General features: G+C 35.0%; 1 protein-coding gene and 1 long non-coding RNA gene across 3 annotated transcripts in view; both read right to left on the bottom strand.

Moving 5' to 3' along the window:
• LOC124900459 (uncharacterized) overlaps positions 1 to 8,836 on the bottom strand; it is a 112,238-nt gene extending 103,402 nt beyond the window's left edge. Inside the window, exon 1 of the long non-coding RNA XR_007067518.1 lies at positions 2,730 to 8,836. This is a non-coding gene — a long non-coding RNA (uncharacterized LOC124900459). The remainder of the gene's footprint in view (positions 1 to 2,729) is intronic.
• Positions 1 to 22,643, bottom strand: part of PLCB1 (phospholipase C beta 1) — a 752,635-nt gene that overhangs the window by 475,797 nt on the left and 254,195 nt on the right. The window lies entirely within an intron of this gene.

Genomic DNA, 22,643 nt, shown 5'->3' with positions numbered 1-22,643 from the left:
CATGGTAAGTGAATGTGGATGTGGTCTCTCCAAATCAGTCTCTAACCCACAGAAATGCTACTTGTTTCTAAACGAAATGTTTAAATTACAATGTTGAATACCATGTAAAATACTGAAAATTAAATTTATTTGATAGTAAATCAACTATATTTTGGATTGTAGAGCCCTTTATTCAAATAGACCTTGATAAGATTACATAGCTATTAGCAATAAAAAAAAATTATTACTGTTACATGACTTCTTAAGTGTCCTGAACACACAGCACTATATTTGTGGCGTGGGCAGAAAGGCTGCCGAATGTGAGATGAAGTAATTTGTTTCAGATGCCACAGCTGGGCAGTGGCACAGCTAGAAATAGACCCTAACACAGTTGACTTTTTTTACAGTGTGATTTCAGCTACTCAGACAAAAATGCTAATATGCTTAAAGGTGTAAAGCTATCCAGAGTTAAGAATCATTGTATTAAATATGTGTTGCATTCAGCTATCTACAAATTTACAGTATGTCCCATGCATCTGATTTAAAATATCAGAGAATTTGCTAAGGGATGTCTAATATTTATGTCGCCATAATCTGATTTTTTTTTTTAAAAAAAACTTCCAATTCAGAACAGTTTTACAGTACCTATTTCATTTTTCCTTTTTCTTTCTTTCTTTCCTTTTCTTTCTTTTTTCCTTTTTTTAAGAAGGGGTCTTGCCCAGGCTGCTGGAGTGGTGCAGTGGCTATTCACAGGTGTGATCCTCATGTACTGCAGCCTTGAACTCCTGGCCCCCGGTAATCTTCCCACCTCAGCTTCATGATTAGCTGGGACTATAGGTTCACACCACCATGCCCTACTACAGCAACTATTTTAGATGTCTATAAATAGATTTACAGAAAAGTTGCAAAGAGAATAGACAGAATACTCCTATCTATACCTTCTACAACAGGGGAAACTGTTTCTGCTGTTGTTAATATCTTACATTAGTATGATATATTTGTCACAGTCAATCAACCAATATTGATATTTTTAAAAAACTAATGTCCATATTCTATTCATATTTCCTTAGTTTTGACCTAGTGTCCTTTCCTTGTTCCAGGATCCCATTTAGGATACCACATTGCATTTACTCATCATGCCTTCTTACGTTCCCCTATACCACGAGTTTTCTCAGACTTTCCTTGTTTTTGAAAACCTTGACTGTTTTAAGGAATCCTGCTCAGGTATTTTGCAAAATATCCCTTAATCTGGATTTGTCTGATGATTTTCTCATGATTAGACTGGAATTTTCGGTTCTGGGGAAGAAGACCAGCAGATAATGTCATTATTACATCACACCAAGGTTACAAACCAGCAACATGACTTAATACTGAAAATGTTGACCTGATCACCGGCTGAGGGAGTGTGATTTGGTTTGGCTGTGTCCCCACCCAAATCTCAACCTGATTTGTATCTCTCAGAATTCCCACATATTGTGGAAGGGACCCAAGGGAAGATCACTGAATCATGGGGGCCTGTCTTTCCCATGCTATTCTCGTGATAGCGAATAAGTCTTAAGAGATCTGACGAGTTTATCAGGGGTTTCCGCTTTTGCTTCTTCCTCATTTTTCTCTTGCCGCCACCATGTAAGAAGTTCCTTTTGCCTCCTGCATAATTCTGAGGCCTCCCCAGCCATGTAGAACTGTAAGTCCAATTAAACCTCTTTTTGTTCCAAGTTTTGGGTGTGTCTTTATCAGCAATGTGAAAATGGACTAATACAGAGTGTTTGTCAGGTTTCTCCACTGAGAAAGTTACTCTTTTTCCCTTTTTCCATATTGTACTCTTTGGAAGATACTCGTTATCTGTGATTTAAAGGCTGGGGAGTTTTTTTCCAGCCTATCAAGGGTGCATTAACCACATAAGTTACTTGGGACTATTCTGTATGAAAGATTTCTTATTTGCTCACATTAAAAAAAATTTTATTTTCAAATTTATCCATTTGTTAAATTAAGCTATGCATGTCTCATTTTAGTATCACATGATTCATTCTAGCTTTCCTCCCTTGGTTATGTGTAACAGTTAAAATATCAGGAGGCAATGGGCTGTGTAGCCTCAGAAGTTACACTGAAAGTTAAAACAATCTTCTTTGGATTGTCAGGGGCTTATAAATAGAATCCTGATTCTTTACTTACTTAGCAGTCTCATTTTTCCTACTCTGAAACACCACATCTCAAATATTCATTATAAGTTCCCACTGTCCAATACCACATTCTAACAATTCATTAAAATACCCCCAATAAACGGATTTTAAAAAGCCAGAAAGAGCCCAGGTAAGTTGATCCCTCACATAAAATCACTATAATTCTTGTTTTTTCTGGGAATTTACTGTAATACTGGTAAAACTGAATAATAGAATTTGAACAGCCTTACTCTTTGCATTATATTCATTTTCTAGTGCTTCTTCAATGAATTTTCTTTATGAAAAGGGCTCTCTGCTCGACAGGCTCTTATGTAGATGGAATGACCTTTTGCTGCCTTGGAATACTGGAAGGCAAATTTCAACTCATCTGACTCACAAAACTAAATAAGTTCTGGCCTCCATTAGCAAGGAGATAGAAGATAGTGAACCTCACTTTCCTTTTGTTGCTTTTCAATTCACAATAATTTCATCTTGAAATTATTATGTGTTGAAAACACTTAACACAAGACAATTTTTGCCTGAATGCATATGCCATATTTTAATGACTGAAGCTGTAATTTAAAACATTACCTGCATGTTCTTCCATTTTTCCTTAAGGTTATTCTTGTACACTGACACTAGTAAGTTGAATAAATTTGTTTTCATTACATCCAGTAAAGTTTACTAAAGAAAGAGAGAAACAGCTTTTATCACTATGGTCATTACTGATTTTAAAATGTAGCTTTAAGCAATTTCGTTTCTTCAATTACTCTATCCACATATTTTCCTTCTTCCATCAAAGCCATAGAACACATAAAAGTCAATAAAGTAAATCTGTAACTCATGCTATAAAATGCAGGAATGACTTGACTTGGGCCTTCAAATCCTCCATCACACATACAGGCAATGATGGGCTGGTAAATGTTAACAAGCAGCTATCAAAAAAAAAAAGGAAGAAAAAAAGCCCTAATTAGTAGTGTTTGTCAATTTATCTTGTGTAAATACTCTCATGGCCAATTTCAATCTATCAACATGGTGTCACTGAGCACAGATTTGGGCAGAGATGTCAGTAGCATCATTATATAGCATTCCTACCATTTGGATATAATGATTATAAATAACTTTGAGAACATGGATAATAATAAAAAGTAGGAAGTGACAGTATTAACATGATCATCTTTTTTCAATATAATGTATTTAGATTGAAGTTTATGTAGTTTAATAGCTGTGTTTAACAACTGGCTCTGTAAATTGGTACAAGCCAAATTCAATATGCTGAAGTCTAACAGGGAAGGTTTTTGGCTACTTGATTGTCCAGGTTTCAGCTGGCTTTGATTTCACTGGAAACAACCAGCTTCTCAGAAGGAAAGTGGGGTAGATTGATTGCAAAAGTGGCCACAATTCTTCACCTTCCCTGTATCCACATCCTTTTGCAACATGACTGTAGCTCCTTCTATTTCCCTACTGCTAAATCGGGGGAAAACTGGCTTGACCTTGAGACTTGCTTTGGGCGAAAGCATGTGGCGTAATTGATGGAGTGCCTGTTCCAAGTCTAGGCCTCAAGAGGCCTTGTGTGTTTCCACTCTGTCTCTTACTGTTCTGCTTTCACTGTGAGGATATCCCCAGGGTGGAGAAACCAGAAGAGTGCTGATTTTAAGGGAGAGCTGAACAAAACACGCGGAGATGAGTAGGGACAACTCTAGACTAGTCTAGAGCCAGATGACCTCGAAACATGTGAGAGACCCCAGCCCAAATCAGCAGAGCCACTTCATCAACCCACAGCTGACCACAGACACATACATGAACCCAGAACCACTCAGCTGACCTGCAAACTCATTAGCAATAACAAATGTTTATTGTTTTATGTCACTGGGTTTTGGGAAGGTTTGTTAGAGCTTGAGAATAAGACTAATTTCTGTCTTCTATATGGAGAACTGAAAGAGTCATCATTTGAATACCTACTGAAAGCAAAGAGGACTCCTGAAAATATCAGAGGAAATAGGACTAACATGTAGGAATTAAGGGTTGAGAGAAAAATATTGCTCATTTTGCTAATCTGGATACATACAACTTCAATAATTGTGGTGTGTTAATGTTACTTGAATTCAAAACTCTGGTCATAATCAGCTATAATTATGCCATGGTGTTAAAGCCATACTTCCAAAATATTCTGTTTTATGGATTCAATACTGATTATATCTTGCAAAGAAGACTTGCTTTTAAAAAATACTACTAGTAAATACTAGTATTTCTGGGGAAGAATTACTAAAAGAATCTGTACATTTTCAAAACTTTGAATATTTAAATTATAGAATGTTACCCTCACCACCATATCATTTTGAGACAATGAAATCATTCAATCCCATACTTCAGTTGCAAATTGATATTTCCTTTGAAATATTAGTTTTCCAAGGAGCTTGACATCCTGCTTCTCAGGGGAGAAAAAAGGAAGAAGGGGAATGCAAAATAAGCTTAGGACTTGTACCTTTTATCCTCTCTACTAGGTGTTTTCTAATCTCATTTTCAGTTCGGTGCCAGGAGATGTGCTTTACATAGAGAAATGCAAATCATTAGACATTCAAGGCAAAGTTGGAATTAGTGTAAAAATTTTCAGAATGGAAGGAACCTAGGAATTTTGTGATCCCAAATGTTTTTTCTACACAATAGGAAACTGAGGAAAAATGGCTTTGTGCTACAGATGTGCAGCTATTTAGCCAAAACCCTGAAACAAAAACATAGGTCAGTTAACTCTTAGAACAGAGCATTTATTCCATGAAATCACAAAACCCATTGCTTTCAATGAAAGTTGATTGTCAATATTCCTTCAATAAAATTTGTCTGCAAAGAAAAATTCATCTTAATTGCTATAAAATCAGTCACAATTTTACTTAATAAAAATAGATAAAAGCCACAATTTCTGTCTATACATAAATACTTATGAGCCAAAAAGCAAGCCTGATTTAACTCAAAGTATCAGATAAATTCTGCATCATAAAGGACATTATAGACAAATCATGACTCTCAATTAATGAGAAAGAAATGGTCCTAGTTTCCAATATAATGGATACTCAAGTACAAATGAGTTACTAGTAAACCATTCCCATATGGTTAGTCTCCTGAAGATACTGAATGTTCATGGGTGCACCTATTCTAGATGCTGAAAAAAATTAAGCTTTAAAAATGAGTATAGATTTTCCCCTGAGGAATGCAATGGCCATTTCTGCAATCCACAATCTGTCTTGCAGTGGCACTATCAGAGCTCACTGAAGCCTCAACTTCCTGGGCTCAAGTGATCCTCCTGCTTCAGGCTTCCAAGTAGCTGGGACTACAGGTACGTGTCACTACACCCTGCTCACATGCTATCTTGTTTCTGAACATCAACATATCACTTAAATGCTTCCTTCTCTGTGAAGCCTTGCCCATCTTCCTGCATTCCCTCCATTCCAACCTACGGCACCACTGGGCAAATTAAAATCTAATATTTCCAAACACTTCTTACGATTCCCAATTACATCATTTACTACATTTGACCTTGTATTACAGCCTTTGGACACTCCCTGTTGTTTTTTGTTTGGTTGGTTTTTGAGACACAGTCTTGCTTCATTGACCCAGACAGGAGTGCTGTGGTGCGATCATAGCTCATGGAAGCCTTGAACTCCTGGGCTCAAGTAATCCTCCCATCCTCAGCCCCTCAAAGCCTTAGGATTACAGTCATGAGCCACTGTGCCTGGCTTTGTGGGGCTGAGGAGGGAGGGTTTCAAAGGTAAGAATCATGAGCATAAGAACTATGTTTTATTTCTTTTTTTATATCATTTGGGACTTCACACAGTGATTTTCCTATAAGAGATGTCAACTATTTTTATTTAATTAAATAGTTCTAACTCACAAAGAGTTTAGAATCTAATAAAATGATATCATATACAACACTGATTAATTTTTGCCCAACTGCAAAGGGATGAGAATTTTACCAAGTCATCAAAATACATAAACTTAAATTCAAAGACAAAAATAGATATAAAATTTAGAAATAAGGAGGTGACACTGTAATTGTTACAGAGAGTATGAGTTAAAATGAAAAAAATCAAATGAAAACTTTTTTTAAATTTTTTTTTTATTTTTTTGAGATGGAGTCTTGCTCTGTTGCCCAGGCTGGAGTGCAGTGGCACGATCTCGGCTGACTGCAAGCTCCGCCTCCCAGGTTCACTCCATTCTCCTGCCTCAGCCTCCCGAGTAGCTAGGACTACAGGCGCCCACCACCACGCCTGGCTAATTTTTTTTTTTTTTTTTGTATTTTTAGTAGGGACGGGATTTCACCATGTTAGCCAGGCTGGTCTCCATCTCCCGACCTTGTGATCCGCCTGCCTCGGCCTCCCAAAGTGCTGGGATTACAGACATGAGCCACCACGCCCGGCCTGGAAACTATTTTTTAAAAGATTCGGTGAAGTACATGGATACATAATATTATGTCAAAAATTAGTTTCCTTTTATTTAATAAAAGGTGGTTAGAAATGTAAATAAAAGCTCCACTTAAAACATCAAAGTGATGTAACACTCAGCGGAAGCTTAACTTTAACTGTAAGATCTATATGATAAAGACCTTAAAACATTACTAAGGAATACAAAAGACAACCTGAATATAAATGAAGACATATTTTCTGCTTGCATAAAAGTAGTATGCTAAAGACATAAAGTGTTATAACATTAATCTCATCACTTAAAGAAATACCAATAAAAAATACACATGGTTTTTAGGAGAACAATATAAATTGATTCTGAAATTCAAATGAAAATTAATATAAATGTAAATAAAACTTGATAAAGCAGGACTATACCAAGTAATATATATTGTAAAGCCACAATAATTAAAACATTTTATTACTAGTCTAAAAATATATAGAAAAGTCAATGATCTCAGGGGAAAATGGAAAGATACAGAAGCTTTCAGTGTATAACCAAGATAGCATTCCAAATCAATGAGAAAAAAATAGGTTATGCAATAAGTAATGTTAGATGACCTGGCAGCCATCTAGAGTAACATAAAATAGATATTATGGTAAACATTATGAGCTCACTAATCACTGGTTCTCCTTTCACCCCTGGGCATACTGGAATCTGTATGTCCCAGCCTCCTTGAATTGGGCTGGGCCATGTGACTTGGACATGGTCAATAAGCAGAAGGGATGCATGTCACTTCTAGGCTGAGGCATTGAGGAATCCTCTTTGATTCTCTAGCTGTTTTCTCCTGCCACAGCAAATGCAAGGCCTCTTGCTGAGATGGTTGAGCTCAAGACAGAAACATCCCTAGATCACTGAGGATAGCTATCTTGGAATGTTTTTGCAGACCTTCAGCAGATGGTTTGAGCAAGAGATGTATTTTTGATGTGTTATTCCACTGACATTTGGGAGTTGTTTGTTATCATGGACTACTTTAATCCTGACTAATAAAGATTCCTTTGTCACTGTCATAAAATAAGGTCCAGATAGCTCAAAGATACAACCATAAAAATTAAAATCATAAAAACACTGGAAGAAATCACAAAATAATCTTTATTATTTTAGAATAGTTATTCCAAGCGGTGCTCTGTTTGGAAGTACAGTTTTTAAAAAGGGACTAATAAATTTGACTACAAAACATAATTCTGGAAGGCAATAATTCTACAAGGTCAAATTAAAATTAAAAGCTGGAGATCATATTTCCAGTATATGATAGCTCTTAATATATCAAAATATCTTACGAAACAGTGAGAAGAACTATATATTGGAAAATGGGCAAAGGATATGGTTAGAAATACAAACAACACAATATGAAAAGTTTCCTCTCCACTCACAGTAGAAGAAATTCAAATTTAAGTAATAAAGAGCTCCCAATTTTTCATCTATAACATTTCAAAGATCAAAAAAATTCAATCAAACATGGTGTTGGCAAGAGTATGAAGAAACAGGTAATCTTGATTGTTGTTGGTGGAAGTGTAATTGATTAATTTATATAATCTCTTCGCTGAGCCATTTGGCAATGCATTTCATAATTAAAAATGCACATATATTTGGACTTAGCAATTTCACCAACAGGAAATTCGAATATACCTGTATTGTGCCCAAAGATGATATTTTATATATACATATATATACACATCAAAGCATTGTTTGAGGCAGCAAAAAACCGGAAACAATAAAATGCCTATTAACAAATGACTAAGTACATAAATTATGGCACATCTATAAAATGAAATAATACTCTACAACCTCTAGAAAAAGAATGAGGACTTGTATTTGTGCTGACACGGCATAATTTCTGCAACAAATTGCTAAGTTTAAATAGCATTTGATAGCATGTCATCATTTACAGGTTTTCTGGGAAACGAAAACAAGAAACTGCAGTACTATGAATCCTTGCCTCAGGGGAAGGGAACAGAAGAAATGGAGAAGGGGAAATACTTTTTAATAAGATAACCTTTAATAGTTGTAATTTACTTTTTAGTAGATGTAAAAATCATTTATTTCAAAAAATAAAAACAATTTAAAAACATTACATCAGACCAATTCCACTGCTACCCACATGGACTAATAACATTTTAATTTTCATTTCCCAAAGGTCATAAATGGCAAGAGTGATTATGTGCCTGGTAATCAGTGGTAAGAAAATTCTGGCACAAAGAATAGAATACACAGGCTCAGACAGTTGCCACCTGTGACAAGTCACTTAAAGGAAAACTTATTCAACTTAAAATATCTTTCTAAGAGGAAGTGAAACTGACAGTTCTCACCCTCCTCAGATAAAAATCCAATCAGGAAATATGACATTGTCACCCACATAGTGCAGCTAAGGTACTTCCCTATGCCACCACAAGCAGTTGACAATGTCAGAAAACTTCTGACATTATGCAAGATTTCCATTCCATAAAAATGATAGACTTAAAAAGCACAGGGCAGATGCAGCATTAATCTGTTCCCACAGGCTTTATGGCTATTTAAAGGGCCTGTCAACATGAATAATGCACAGGAGTTATTTTTACATAAAATGAGCTCAGAAATTATAGAACAAACAACTTATATGATGGCATGGATTTCTAAAAATGAAAGTTTATAAGGCAGAATAACCAAAAGGTTTTTTTTCTTATTTTTATTTTCGGGACTTTGTGGGTAAATCTACAAGATATTGCTAATTGTTTAACTAGTAATGATTTTGTCATTTTCTAGGAATTTGAAAAAATAAAGTAAAAAAAATAAAGTTTTGAAAACTAGAAAATGGCATTCTCTACCTACATAAAATATATGAAACAAACAAAAATTGTCTTAGGGAAAAATAGTTTTTTCTTGGGAGGTGGTTGTTGGAAAGCAGAGAATAGTATTGAGAGTAATATTTGATATAATGGGTTGGTAAAAAATGCCAATTTCTAATTGTTTTGTTATTCTAGAATAAGAATCCACTTTTCCCTTATAGAACTTGAATTTAAAGTATTTCAGTAAGCATTAATAGACACACTGAACAATGAAATAGTAAAAAATATTCCAGAAATAGATCCAGGTACACATGGAAGGAAACATTATATATGAAAAAGGTAAGTATTTTAACTCACCTAGACAAAAGTTGGACTTTTTGATAAGTAGTACAAAAGATAGACTTTTAAATAAGTGGTGTTGGCACAACTGGATTGCAAATAAAAAGAGATATACAATTGGACTTTTAAATAAATGTTATTGGAACACCTAGATACCAGGATAGGGCAAAAGATGGTCTGAAAAAAATAGTGTTGGGACAAAAGAACGGTAAGTTAGAAAAATAAAATTGGGTTCATACCTCATGACAAACAAACAAAAAAAACCTCCAAGATGCTCCAAGATCTAAATGGAAAATCACGAAGTCATACTAGAAAAAAAAAAAGAAGCTATAGGTGAATTTTCTTTATAAACTAGGCATGAATAAAGACTTACTAACTGTGACTCAAATGCCAAAAGCAATAAGATAAAATATTGATAAATTGACTAGATAAAAATAAAAACAAAAACTTACAAGGCAGAAACAACATCAACAACAGCAACAAAAAAACACCAAAAGCAAAATCAAAAGGGAAAAAATAAACCGGGAGAACATTTTTGCACCTCTAGGGTACGATAGAGAGCTAATTCTCCTGATATATAAAGAGCTCAAAAAAACCAAGGGGAGAAAAAAAGGACGAAATACCAGATGAAAAAAAAAAAGTGCAAATTATGCAAATGAGCATTGTGCTATTAAGTGAATGTTTGTCTCCCTTCAAAATTCATATATGGACGCTTAAACCCCAACGTGATAGGGCGTTGGAGGTAGGGACTTTGGGAAGTGATTAGGCCATGAGGGTGGAGCCCTCAAAATGGGATTAGTGTCTTTGGAAAAAGAGACTAGAGAGTCAACTCTCCCTCTCTCTGCTTTCCCCTATGTGAGGACTCAATGAGAATGCAGCCAACTGCAAACCAAGAAGTGGGCCCTCAGCAGACATGAGATTTGCTGGCACCTTGCCCTTGGACTACCCAGCCTCCAGAACTGTGGGTAATGTTTTTATTTCAGCCACCAGTCTATGGTAATTTGTTACAGAAGCCCAAAGTGACTAAGACATATTTATAATTTGTTATAGAAGTCCAAAGTGACTAAGACATATTTATGTATATTAAGACATATATTATGACATATTAAAACATATGACATATATTTATTAAGACATATATGTGTGTATAAATACATATTTATATATGTTTTAGAAATATATGTATGTATATACATGCATGGTCCTTAAACATGTGAAAGGAGGCTTAGTTTCATGCATAGGTAAGAAAAAGGTAAGTTAAAATGTATTGATCACATTTCCTGTCAAAGTGGCAAAAATAACAAGCTTAACAATACACTTTGTGGTGAGACTGTGTGAATAAAGATTCTGTAATACACTGCAAGGGGGGTAGAAAATGGTAAAATCTAAACAAAGAAAAAGTCTATGAAGATGTTAGCAAAACAAACAAATCTAGGAATTTATCCTGAAACTGAACTTTTGCATATGTAAAGGAAGGCATTTAAAAAAAAAATTGTAGCCTTATGCATAATAAAAAATAATGGAAACAACCTAAATGCTCATTCACAGAAGACTGAAAAAACTACAGAACCTCCATATAGTGGAGCAATATGCAGCTGTACAAAAGAATGAAAAAGATTCCCATGACCCATATGAAGAGGTATTGACGTTATATTAAGTAAAACAGGCAACCTATAAAAGCACATAGATAGAATGTTACATTTTGTGTAAGAAAGACTGAGGCAATTTACATATATTTTGAAAAAACTGGTGTCTCAATTCACTGGGGAAAGATGGACTTTTTATTAAATGAGATGAGAGGACTGGGTAGCTAGGTATGGGTTTGTGTGTGTGTTTCCTTATTTTTGTAAACAGAAACATGGTAAGGAAAACCAGAAGGTGGGTAGGAATAGGGTGGAAGGATATGGATGAGAGTGACTTCCCTGAGCATTCTTCTTTATATAATTTTGAATGCTGAGGCAAAGGAATATTTTATACTTTCCAAATGTAAAATTGATAAAAGCAATAGAGCATTTTAATCTCTAAAACTGAACGTAACTATAAATATATAAATCTAAGTGTATAGCAAATTAATAATATAACTCTATAGAAAATAATTTTAATAATCTTGGAGTATATATTCTTAGTGAAGCATACAATAAGGAATAAAGATAATTGCAAAGAAACGTTGGATTTTCTCTAGTGGACTTGTATTAGTAGCAACAGTATTTTTATTCTAGAATTATTTTGTGTAGACTATGACAAAGAAGTGAATACATTAATGCAGTAAGGAATCAAAATTGCCACTATACAAAAACAGATATACATGAAAGAAGAGGAAATGAGGAAGAAACCTGTGATAATGGATTGAATTAGATCTATTTGGATCTGTAATCTCACTGCTAGGATTACAATTTGAGGCATTACCAAAGAATAAAAACGCCAAATGAAGAAGAGATATCTGCTTCAGATTTACCTATAATAGCAAAAATAAAACAGAAATTGTCTACTCAAAAGTAAATAGTAAGTAGTTAATATGATTTCCAATCAATGCATTATTATTCAGCTATACAACTGATAAATATTAAAAATATTTAGAATCATGGCCATGCTTACAGTGTCATGTTAGATGAGAAAACTTTAATATGTTACGTATGCAAATATATAGATGAACACAGTTTGATCTTTGGGAAAATAAACAGACGATTGTGTATATCTGGAATTACTAAACCACGAAGGCAACTTATTTAGTTGAATTTTTTTCAAAGCAACTTTTTGTGTTAACAGTAGCATCAGATGTTGACAAAATTAAAGACTCACTTGCTGTTACTCTTCCCACCTTGTTTTTCAACTGGACTGAGCAACTTCCCATTTTTTTGAAATTGAACCTTTATTAAGGCAATAATTCAGGACTGGCCTCTAAAATAATTGGTTTTTCTCTTCTCAATCATACAACCGAATAATTTATTTAAGGCCAAGGACACATAATTCTAGTGTTGCAGTGTAGTGCTAGGATTAATAGTGCATGAAATTTTTGCCACATGCAACTAATACCAACTAATGCCATTAAAGCAATATGTTTTGGTTGGATTAAAAGAAATATTTTGAATCCCCTTGGATCCACCACAGATTGAATTTCTGTCCTTGAGTGAACGTTGCCACACCTTATTAATTGAGGTAAAGATGCCATCAACACAGTCAGATGATACTTCTGAACTTTCAGCTCCCCACTTCTGTAGTTATATGGTTTTAGATATATGATTTATTATCTAACATCTTGTTGCCAGAGAAACAAGCTCAACTTACAAAAGTAAGGCATGATTCAGCTCAATATATTACTTTTCTGTTACAACTTTGTAGTTTCTCTGTTTACAATCTAAACAGGGCATGAATATTAGTAAATTACAAGCCGAATATTTGAGGGACATGATTAAAAGAAGCTTGATGAGTTTCCAGACACTTGGAAGAGTTGTAAGCATTTACCAGGAATAATTTAGAATAACATGGTACAGTTAAGTATCAGGGGAAAATATATTTACAGAGAAGAGTATCCATCTATTATGACTTTCTATATTTTATAGTCTAGAATAACAATTTGTTTTTTTTTTAAAATGGGAAAAACAGATTTCTAGTCACACCTTCACAGTATTTCAAATGCTCTACAGTATCCTTCAAATAAATTATTTGACTTAAGAATTCTCAACTCAAACCATGAAATTTTGAGCAGCTAAGCATAAAATTAAATACTGAGTCTAGTTCGCTATTACTTACACAATTTATTCTTTAACATACTTTCTCAAAGTTTTATAAACCACCAACTCATGTGAAATATCCCACTCAATCATCTATTTTTATTTTAGATATTCTAAGAGCTATTCCTTTTCAATATTATGTATAGATAATTTATTTGAAAGCATTATTGACTTTAAAATTGTGTAAACTTAAAATTTAATTTTCCTTATTCAGCCATTCCACATTCTTTGGTATATGTGTAGGACAGAACTAATATAAGAGATCTTAAATTAATTTTATTTAGATTTTCATCTGGTATCCATAAGTAATAATATGTAGACAATGCCTTCTAAAGAATCTTTAATCTTCAAACAAAATTGCAAGCAAATTGATTAATAGAGAAGCATGTTTCAGAGACCCATAAAATAAAATAAATGTCTCATTAACTACTGCTTTCGACAGTAGAGATTTATCTATGGCAAAAATAATAAAGTCAATAGGTGTTCAATTTCCCATATTGTTTGTATGTACCTCAACCAAGGAAACTTCTTTTTAAACTCTTACTAAATTTATTTATACTAAGGTACTATAAGAATCAAGGAAAATGTAATTCATGCACAGATACAAAATGACTAATTTCAACTAAAGAGAGTCAAATTTAATTTTTAATTAACATTCATAGAAAGAAAAATTGTGTTTGCTAAACAATTTTAACCAGGTATTACAAATCTTGAAATAGTCTAGGAAGAAACGATTTAATTTAAAAGTTTAACATGACCTTACTATTTTTGAAATATGAGTGATGCTCAAAGCTTTTGAAAAATATTGTTAAAGATACCATTAAAAGTGAAAACTTTGCCAGATAGAAGCCTATATACTATAGATGGCAAATGCAAATACCTAAAGAAAAACATTGAGAATATGGATGATGCAACCAAGAGTTTAACTTGTCAAATAATGGCACAGCTTCAAGCCTATTAAACATATGCACTAATGGCCTATAGTTTTAAGGATAACAGTAACTACAACTTACAGATCCCCTATTATGAAATATATGTTATGGCCTTTAGTCCTCACAATAACCCTGAGAAATAGTACTATTAACTTCATTTTATGGATGAAGAAAGCAAGACATGAAGTTAAGCAACTTGATTGTGACCACATGAGTAATACTGGTGGAGCCTCTTAACCACTGCTGTTCCCCAGTGTGAGGATACAGAAGCAAAGCCTCACTTTCAGGGCATAAAAGTCAACTCCCATGAACCAGAGAATCATCAGACTTCTTTCTTTCTGCACACACACACCAGGAACCGAAAAGAAACTATGACTATTAAAAGTTATTGCTCCCTAAGTAAGTTCTACCACTTTTAATCTAACCTCAATTCAAGGTTTACCTTGACTTAAAATCCTTCCACAAAGGCCAAGTAGTACCAATTTTATATAAGTCATAAGATGTGAAACCATAGAAAAATAGGCTCTAGAAATAGTTAAGAGTGGACAGAGAATCTCACTCTAGTGGTACACTAGGCATTAGGCTTGTCTAAATGCCAGCATAGATTCCAGGTGCTATGGGAATAAATGAAATTCTTGTGTTTTGAGTAATATGTGGGCAATGCTGATGGTTTTCTGTCATAAGGTCTCAAATTAAAAAAATTAATTAGGTGGGAAGAATGCAAATAGTAAACTTTAAAATTCAAAACATCATAATATAATACAAGACAAAATTCAACATTATATTAATATTATCAAGATATATGAAAAAGGCCTTTCTGGTTTAGATCACCTAAGAACCTGTTCTCTAAACATCTTTAATAGGATCTGCACTACTGTGAAGACAAGCATCACTCATAAACTGGTGTTCTAGTTTATTAAGTGTGGTTAACTTCATAATAAATGGCTTTTAGAACATTTATATTAATCCTATGAGATGCTTGTGACCAAGAGACCCATAGTTAAAGAAAAAAGAAAGAAGTGACACTAACCCATGTCCAACACATCAAAAGCTGTGAGAAATCCTGCAATAAAGGAACCCTTAGCATTTCCCAAACTTATTTGACCAGTCACCCAGGCCGGAGTGCAGTGGTGCAATCACAGTTCACTGCAGCCTTGAACTCTGGACTCAAGAAATCCTCCCGCCTCAGCCTATACTGAGTAGCTGGGAGTATAGGCAGGCATGCACCACTGCATCCACCTATATTTTTTTTAAGAGATAGGGCTTTGGGTCTCAAACTCCTGGCCTCAAGCAATCCTCCTGCTTCGGCCTTCCAAAGTGCTGGTATTACAGATGTGAGCCACCACACCTAGATGACATTTTTATAGCATCTATTAGTATTCCAAGGAACTCACTTGGAGAAACAGTGAGTTTTGGTTTTGATAAAGTATTCTATATACCTGAGGAAAAAAAAATACAATAACTGTTCACAGAGCTATGCCCATTCATGGCAGGCAGTGATGAGCAAATTCTTCTCTCAAGCCCTCTGTTCTTACCTGAAATCAGTAATTCTTGGGTATAAATATAAAAATCAAGCAGCATTTGAGTACAGAAGTACCAGGTGGCATAGAGAAAATGTATTAGGTGTGTGAGGAGAATTTTCTGATCTTTTAATCTCAGTGGTCTTGTCTCACCTTTAAACACCAACAAACATACTGTCTAATTAGTTAGGTTATTCCATCTTCTTGAAATCTCTATGGACATTAATTTCAGGAGTTCCGGAAAACTTTATTTCATCATTAACAAATATCTGTTAAGTGGCAAATATGTTACTATCTTAATTGCCACTTTTCACATAAGATAAATGCCATAGATAGGAATTCTTTCATCTACGAAAATACCTACTATGGGTCATGTATCACATCCAAAGGCAGTGATATAGGATTTCACTTTTTTATGGTACATTGAAGGAATTTAAGAATTTTCAGCCATTTCCCATTCAAAGAAGACAAAACACAAATTTCTCAGAATAAACTGGTATACATTCCTAAGTTCCTTCCACTCTACCCAACTTACTCACAAATTGATATTACTATATCACACATTATGGCTGGCAAATCCATTTGAGAGATGTATATCATTTAGTTCTCCCAATAGCTCCATGATGGATACAAATATTACCTTTAGTCCCCAGGGATCATCCTGCTTGTCTCTTTCATTTTTTATGAGGAAGGTGAGATTCCTAAAAGATGGTATGACTCTACCCAGGTTATTCCATCAGCTGCAGTACCCAAATTAAAAACTAGTATCTTAGTCTATGTGTGCTACTATAACAAACAGACCGGCCAATTTATAAGCAAAGATCTGTCAGGTGGGAAATATTTACAGAAATTTATTTTCCACAGATGTGAAGGCTGGGAGGCTCAAAATCAAGGCGTAGACAGGTTCCGTGTCTGGTGAGGGATGCTCTCTGTTTCAAGGTGGCATTTCGAATGCTGTGTCCTCAGATGGGCCAAGGAGGAAGGGCAAAAAAGACTGAACCTTGAGTGAAATCTCTTTTATAAGGACCTTAATCACATTCATGAGGGAGGAGTTCTCATTGCCTAATCACCTTCAAAAGGCCACAACTTTAAATACTATTGCATCGGCGATTAAGTTTCAACATGAATATTGGAGGGGACGCAAACTTTCAAACTATAGGAACTCGCTGCTCATAAACTGGACAGTGCCCAGTTTATTATGAGTCCTAAAGCTGAAAAGGAATTGTAATGATATACTCCATATTTTCAGAGAATATTCCCATTTCAAAATGTTTCTTTCGTTAAATTACATCCCAGTATTTTCCCCTGCTGGAACATGTATCAAATTACATGCCACATTAGTTTATGACCTAATCTCCAAAATTGAGGAAGTTCAAGTAATATATATATATGTGTGTGTATATATATATATATATATATATATATATATATATATATACACACACATATATATATATATACTTCATTATTTACCAGTCTCACAGAACATTAAGAAGAATACACTGAAAAGTGAACTTAAGGCCCATAGGGAAGTAAGTAGTATCAAACATTATGATTTATGTCTTGTTACCAGTTAAAATCCAACTAGCAAGACAAATCAATACAGCAAGTATTATCATTCACAGGGAAACCAATAAACCTTCCTGGGTTCTCTCAGCTAATAAGTGCACTGGAGTTTGAATCTGGGTCTCTCTGACCCCTAACCTTGTTATTCCATTTCAAAACAGTGCTTTGGATTTTGCTTCAATGACTTCATAGTGCAGAAAAAGATACCCGCATGTTCTTAACTGAAAGTAAATTGCTCTAAAATTATTTTGATGGTTGGAAAATCTATTTAACTGTTGGCAAATCTAGACAGTTTTCTAAATAAGAACTGTAAGTCTTAGTACAACAATATTGCTGTGATAGTTCTCTGGGGGTAGGTGTTTGGCTGCAAAGAGAAATATGCCTCAAGTTCATTTTTCTATAGCTAATACATAGAAGTTAGATTTTAATCAGTAGGTTTAAATGCCACAGCTACAAAAGTATAAATCTCTTATACATAGATTATAGTGACAATCTATATATATAAATATAGATTATAGTGACAATCTATATTAGTGCATGGAATTCTATGGTAAATAGGTAAATTATGCCTATTTAACTTGCTTTTTCCCACTACATCACATACATGTAAGTTATATATTTTATTTACTTAATAATGATGGCAAAATGCATTTAGACAAACAATGGATGTGACAATTGTGTTAGGTGCCTTACGTGCATTTTGTCATTTAGTCCTTACCGCAACTAGATGATATAAACATGGCGATTATTCCTGTAATTCAGATGAAGAAACTAAGTCTCAGAGACATGATATAACTTGCAGGATTATACAGCTTGTTATTGGTGTTGTGGCTTGGCTTTCTGACCCAAGAGCTTGTGACCTTAATAACTATACTCTTATAGGCACTTGCAATACACAAAGACACATACTGGGTGCCCTGGGGCATGCAGAAATTAGTGCTGATAATGCCAAATCAACATATTCTGTACTAAAGCCACTCTGCAAAAGCAATTGTGTATTTCTGAAATGATTCTGACTATGCAGTTTTATCCACATTGACCATTGTATTGATTATAAAGAAAAAAATCTACTTTTCTATATTAAACCAACAGCAAAATAATCATACACTGCTACTCCTTATAAAGAAGCAAATCCTAAGCTAGGCTTTGTAATGTAATGAGGGAACACTGTTAAGGGCTGACTTGTGTCCCCTCAACATTTATATGTTGAAGTATTAACCCCCAGTAATTTAGAAGGTAATAGTATTTAGCAATAGTGCTTTAAAGAGGTAATTAAGTTAAATGCATTCATGAGGGTGGGCCCTAATGCAATACAACTTGTTCCTTATTAGAAGAGGAAATTAGGAATAGAAACAGAGGGAGGACCACGTGAAGATGCGGGGAAGGCAGCCATCTGTAAGCCGAGGAGAAAGGCCTCCAAAGAAAATAACCCTGCTGGCACTTTTGTCTCAGACTTCCCGCTCCCAGAATTGTGAGAGAATAAACTTCTGTTGTTTAAGCTTTAAGCCACTTAGCCTGTGGTACTTTGCTGTGGTAACCAGAGAAGACTGATACAAGTACCGTGGTGTACTTCTCTACATTAAGTATAGTGGTCAAGTTTAAGGAAAACTTGACTGAAAAGTGGTCCTTTTGACAAGCATATTTTGTAGGAAAATTCTCAATGCTTTTCTGTGTAAAATCTCTATTTTCAAAAGAGAAATCATCCATTTAAGCTGGTACTCTTTTTACTTAGACGAATGGTTTTGAAACTTGGTTGAACACTGGAATCTCTTGGGAACTTTAAAGAAAATATCAGTGTTGGAGCCCCACAGCAGACATTTCAATTTAATTGATTGGGGTGTGGCCTGCACATCAGGATTTTAAAAGCTCCCCAAGTGCTTCTCATATCTCTATATTAGAACCCATGATTGAAAACCCTGGCTTAGAGAGCAGTTCACTATGTAGAATTAATTTAAGAATTTAATATCGGATATGTCCACAAGATGGCGCATTATTGCGTTTAAAAGAATTAAAATTGAGAAATGTTTCCCAAATGCAACTATGTACCATTGCATGTAGAACAAATTGGATTTACGTTGAAATTACACCAGACAGGGGCAATGATAAAAATGAGTCACAATCTTCTGAAAAGACCTGGGTTTCATTAACTCATGGTACTAATTCTGTCTTCAACAACAGGTCCACTCTGGGCCTCCGTGAGAATGTTCTTGGCTGCCAGGCCTTTCACCTACTATTACCCTTGAGCAGAACCGTGACCTTTCCCTTACCTTCTCTACAACCTCTCCAGGTCCTTTAGAACCCTTTGGCAATAAGGTAATAGGACAGATGCTGGCCATTATAAATGACATAGAATCTTGATTCAACCACACACATATGCAGTTCACTGTATTTTACAAATGGACACCATATATACTGAAAAATGTAGGCATTGCCTAAACATGCAGATTTAACTGTTGATAGGAGATACACCAACCTCTTCTCAAATTTGGGAAATTATACCACCCCAGAAAAGACTTAACATATCTGCGATTTTTTTTTAAAGTAAAAAGCTTTTAGCCATTAAAGAAAATATTCTACATTTTAATAGTAGCTTTAAAAATCTTATCTTGTGCACTATTGAATGGCCATGATGGTAAGGGGCAGGGAGAAAAGTCAGAAGAGTTTTAAATGCAAACATCTGCCAAGGGAACCATTCCTTAACCACCCCTGAACCCCTGCCAGCATCCTGATATTTCTGCTACCAAATCTCTGACTAGTTATATAAAGGTTTTTGTTTCCAAGGAAACCACTGACATCTATGGAATTTAATGAACATAAAAAAGGAACTATGCCATATAATTTACATCTAAAGATAAATGTGAATAGCTGTCAAAACCATCACACACACACATGCACGCACACACACAGATCATTCAATAAGTTGTTAGCCCTATTTTGCTCCATTTAGTAAAGATGTAAATAAAAACACATTTATAGTAACAAAATGACAAAACAAACCAAAAAACAAACCAAAAAAACTACTGAAGCATGTTAGGTAAATTAAGAAATAGTTGGAACCAAGAATAAGGGTCAAAGGTTGATCTCCTTAGCAATCAGGAGAAAAAAGGAGAAACCTTTACTTTGTTGTGTAAAGAGTTTTCTTCTTCTTTCCTAAACCTCAAATATCTATACCAAATTTTATGACTGTGGCTTCACATAATGGTGAAATCTGTACAAAGTCAGGGAAACAGCTTATAATCAGCAATGGGAGACAATAAATAAAGCATTCATTTCAACTCCAGGCCTCATGGATGATTCATTGAAACCACTGTTGTATAACATCCAAATAACAGCTCATTATGAGATTTATATATTGGCATCCAGATTCTATGATGAGCTATTTGAGATTTGACAACCCTTAAATAAACGGCCTAATTTGAATATTAGCAGGAAACGGTCATGATATAAGGGAAAAAAAAGCATATACAAAAGGGTATTGTCAGTAAAGTTACAAGTGTGCCAAAGTGAAGTCTCCATAAAAAAAGAAAAGCTAGAAGGAAATTCATCATTTGACCTGAATTCACCATTTGATTTCCTCCATGAAATATTTTTTAGGCATCCAGGAAATACACTGTTCTGGTTCTTCTCCCTCCTCACTGGTTGCTCCTTCTCAGTTTCTTCTTTTTTTTTTTTTTTTTTTTAAAAAAAGTGGTAAAACATACATAATATATAATTTACCATTTTTAAGTGTACAGTTCAGTGGCATTAAGTAGATTCACACTGTTGTGCAACCATCACCACCATCCATCTCTAGAACTTTCTCATCTTCTCAAACTAAAACTCTGTACCCACTAAACAATAACTCCCCATTTTCTCCTCCCCCAGGCCCAGCAACCACCATGCAACTTTCTATCTCTAAGGATTTGACTACAATAGCTACAAGCACACCTCATTTTATTGCACTTTGCTTCATTGTGCTTTGCAGATATTGTGGGGGTTTTTTGTTGTTTGTTTTTACAAATTGAAGGTTTGTGGCATTCCTGAGTCCAGCAAGTCTGTTGGTGCCATTTTTACAAAGCATGTGTATGCTTCATGTATCTGTGTCACATTTTGGTAATTTTCACAACATTTGAATAATTAATATATCTGTTATGGTGATCTGTGATCAGTGATCTTTGATATTACCATTGTAATTGTTTTGGAGCATCAGGAACTGCACCTATATAAGATGTTGAATTTAATGAATAAATGTTGTGTGGGTACTGACTGCTCCATTGGCCAGCTGTTCCCTTATCTTTCTCCCTCTCCTGGGGCCACCCTTTTCTCTGAGACACAACAATATTGAAATTAGGCCAGTTAATAACCTTACAATGGCCTCTAAGTGTACAAGTGAAAGGAAGAATCATGCACCTTTCACTTTAAGTCAAAAGCTAGAAAAGATTAAGCTGAGTGAGGAAGGCGTGTCAAAAGCCAAGATAGGCCAAAAGCTAGACCACTTGTGCCAAGCAGTCAGCCGCCCAGTTGTGAATGCAAAGGAAAAGTCCTTGAAGGAAATTAAAATTGCTACTCCAGTGAACACACAAATGATAAGAAAGCAAAGCAAACGTATTGCTGATAGGGAGAAAGTTTGAGCCATCTGGATAGAAGATCAAACCAGCCCCAATGTTCCCTTAAGCCAAAATCTAACCCACAGCAAGGCCCTAACTCTCTTCAGTCCTGTGACAACTGAGAGAGGCTAGAAAGCTGCAAAAGAAAAGTATGAAGCTAGCAGTGGTTGGTTCATGAGGTTTAAAGAAAGAAGCCTTCTCCATAACATACAAGTGCAAGGTGAAGCAGGAAGTGCTGATGGAGAAGCTACAGCAAATTACCCAGAAGATCTAGCTGAGATCATTGATGAAGGTGGCTACACCAAACAACAGATTTTCCATGTAGACAAAACAGCCTTCTGTTGGAAGATGATGCCATCTAGTACCTTCATATCTTGAGAGAAGTCAATGCCTGACTTCAAAGCTTCAAAGGACAGGCTGACTCTCTTGTTAGGCATTAAGGCAGTTGGTAACTTTAAGTGGAAGCCAATGCTCATTGACTGTTCTGGAAATCCTAGGGCCCTGAAGAATTATGCTAAACCTATTTCACGTGAGCTCTATAAACAGCACAACAAAATCTGATAACAGCATATCTGTTTACAGCATGGTGTACTAAATACCTTAAGCTTACT

The sequence above is a fragment of the Homo sapiens genome, chromosome 20 (genome assembly GCF_000001405.40).
Source record: "Homo sapiens chromosome 20, GRCh38.p14 Primary Assembly".
NCBI classification, from domain to species: Eukaryota; Metazoa; Chordata; class Mammalia; order Primates; family Hominidae; genus Homo; species Homo sapiens.
Note: the sequence above shows the minus strand (reverse complement) of the source record. Positions and strands in the feature narration are given on the sequence as shown.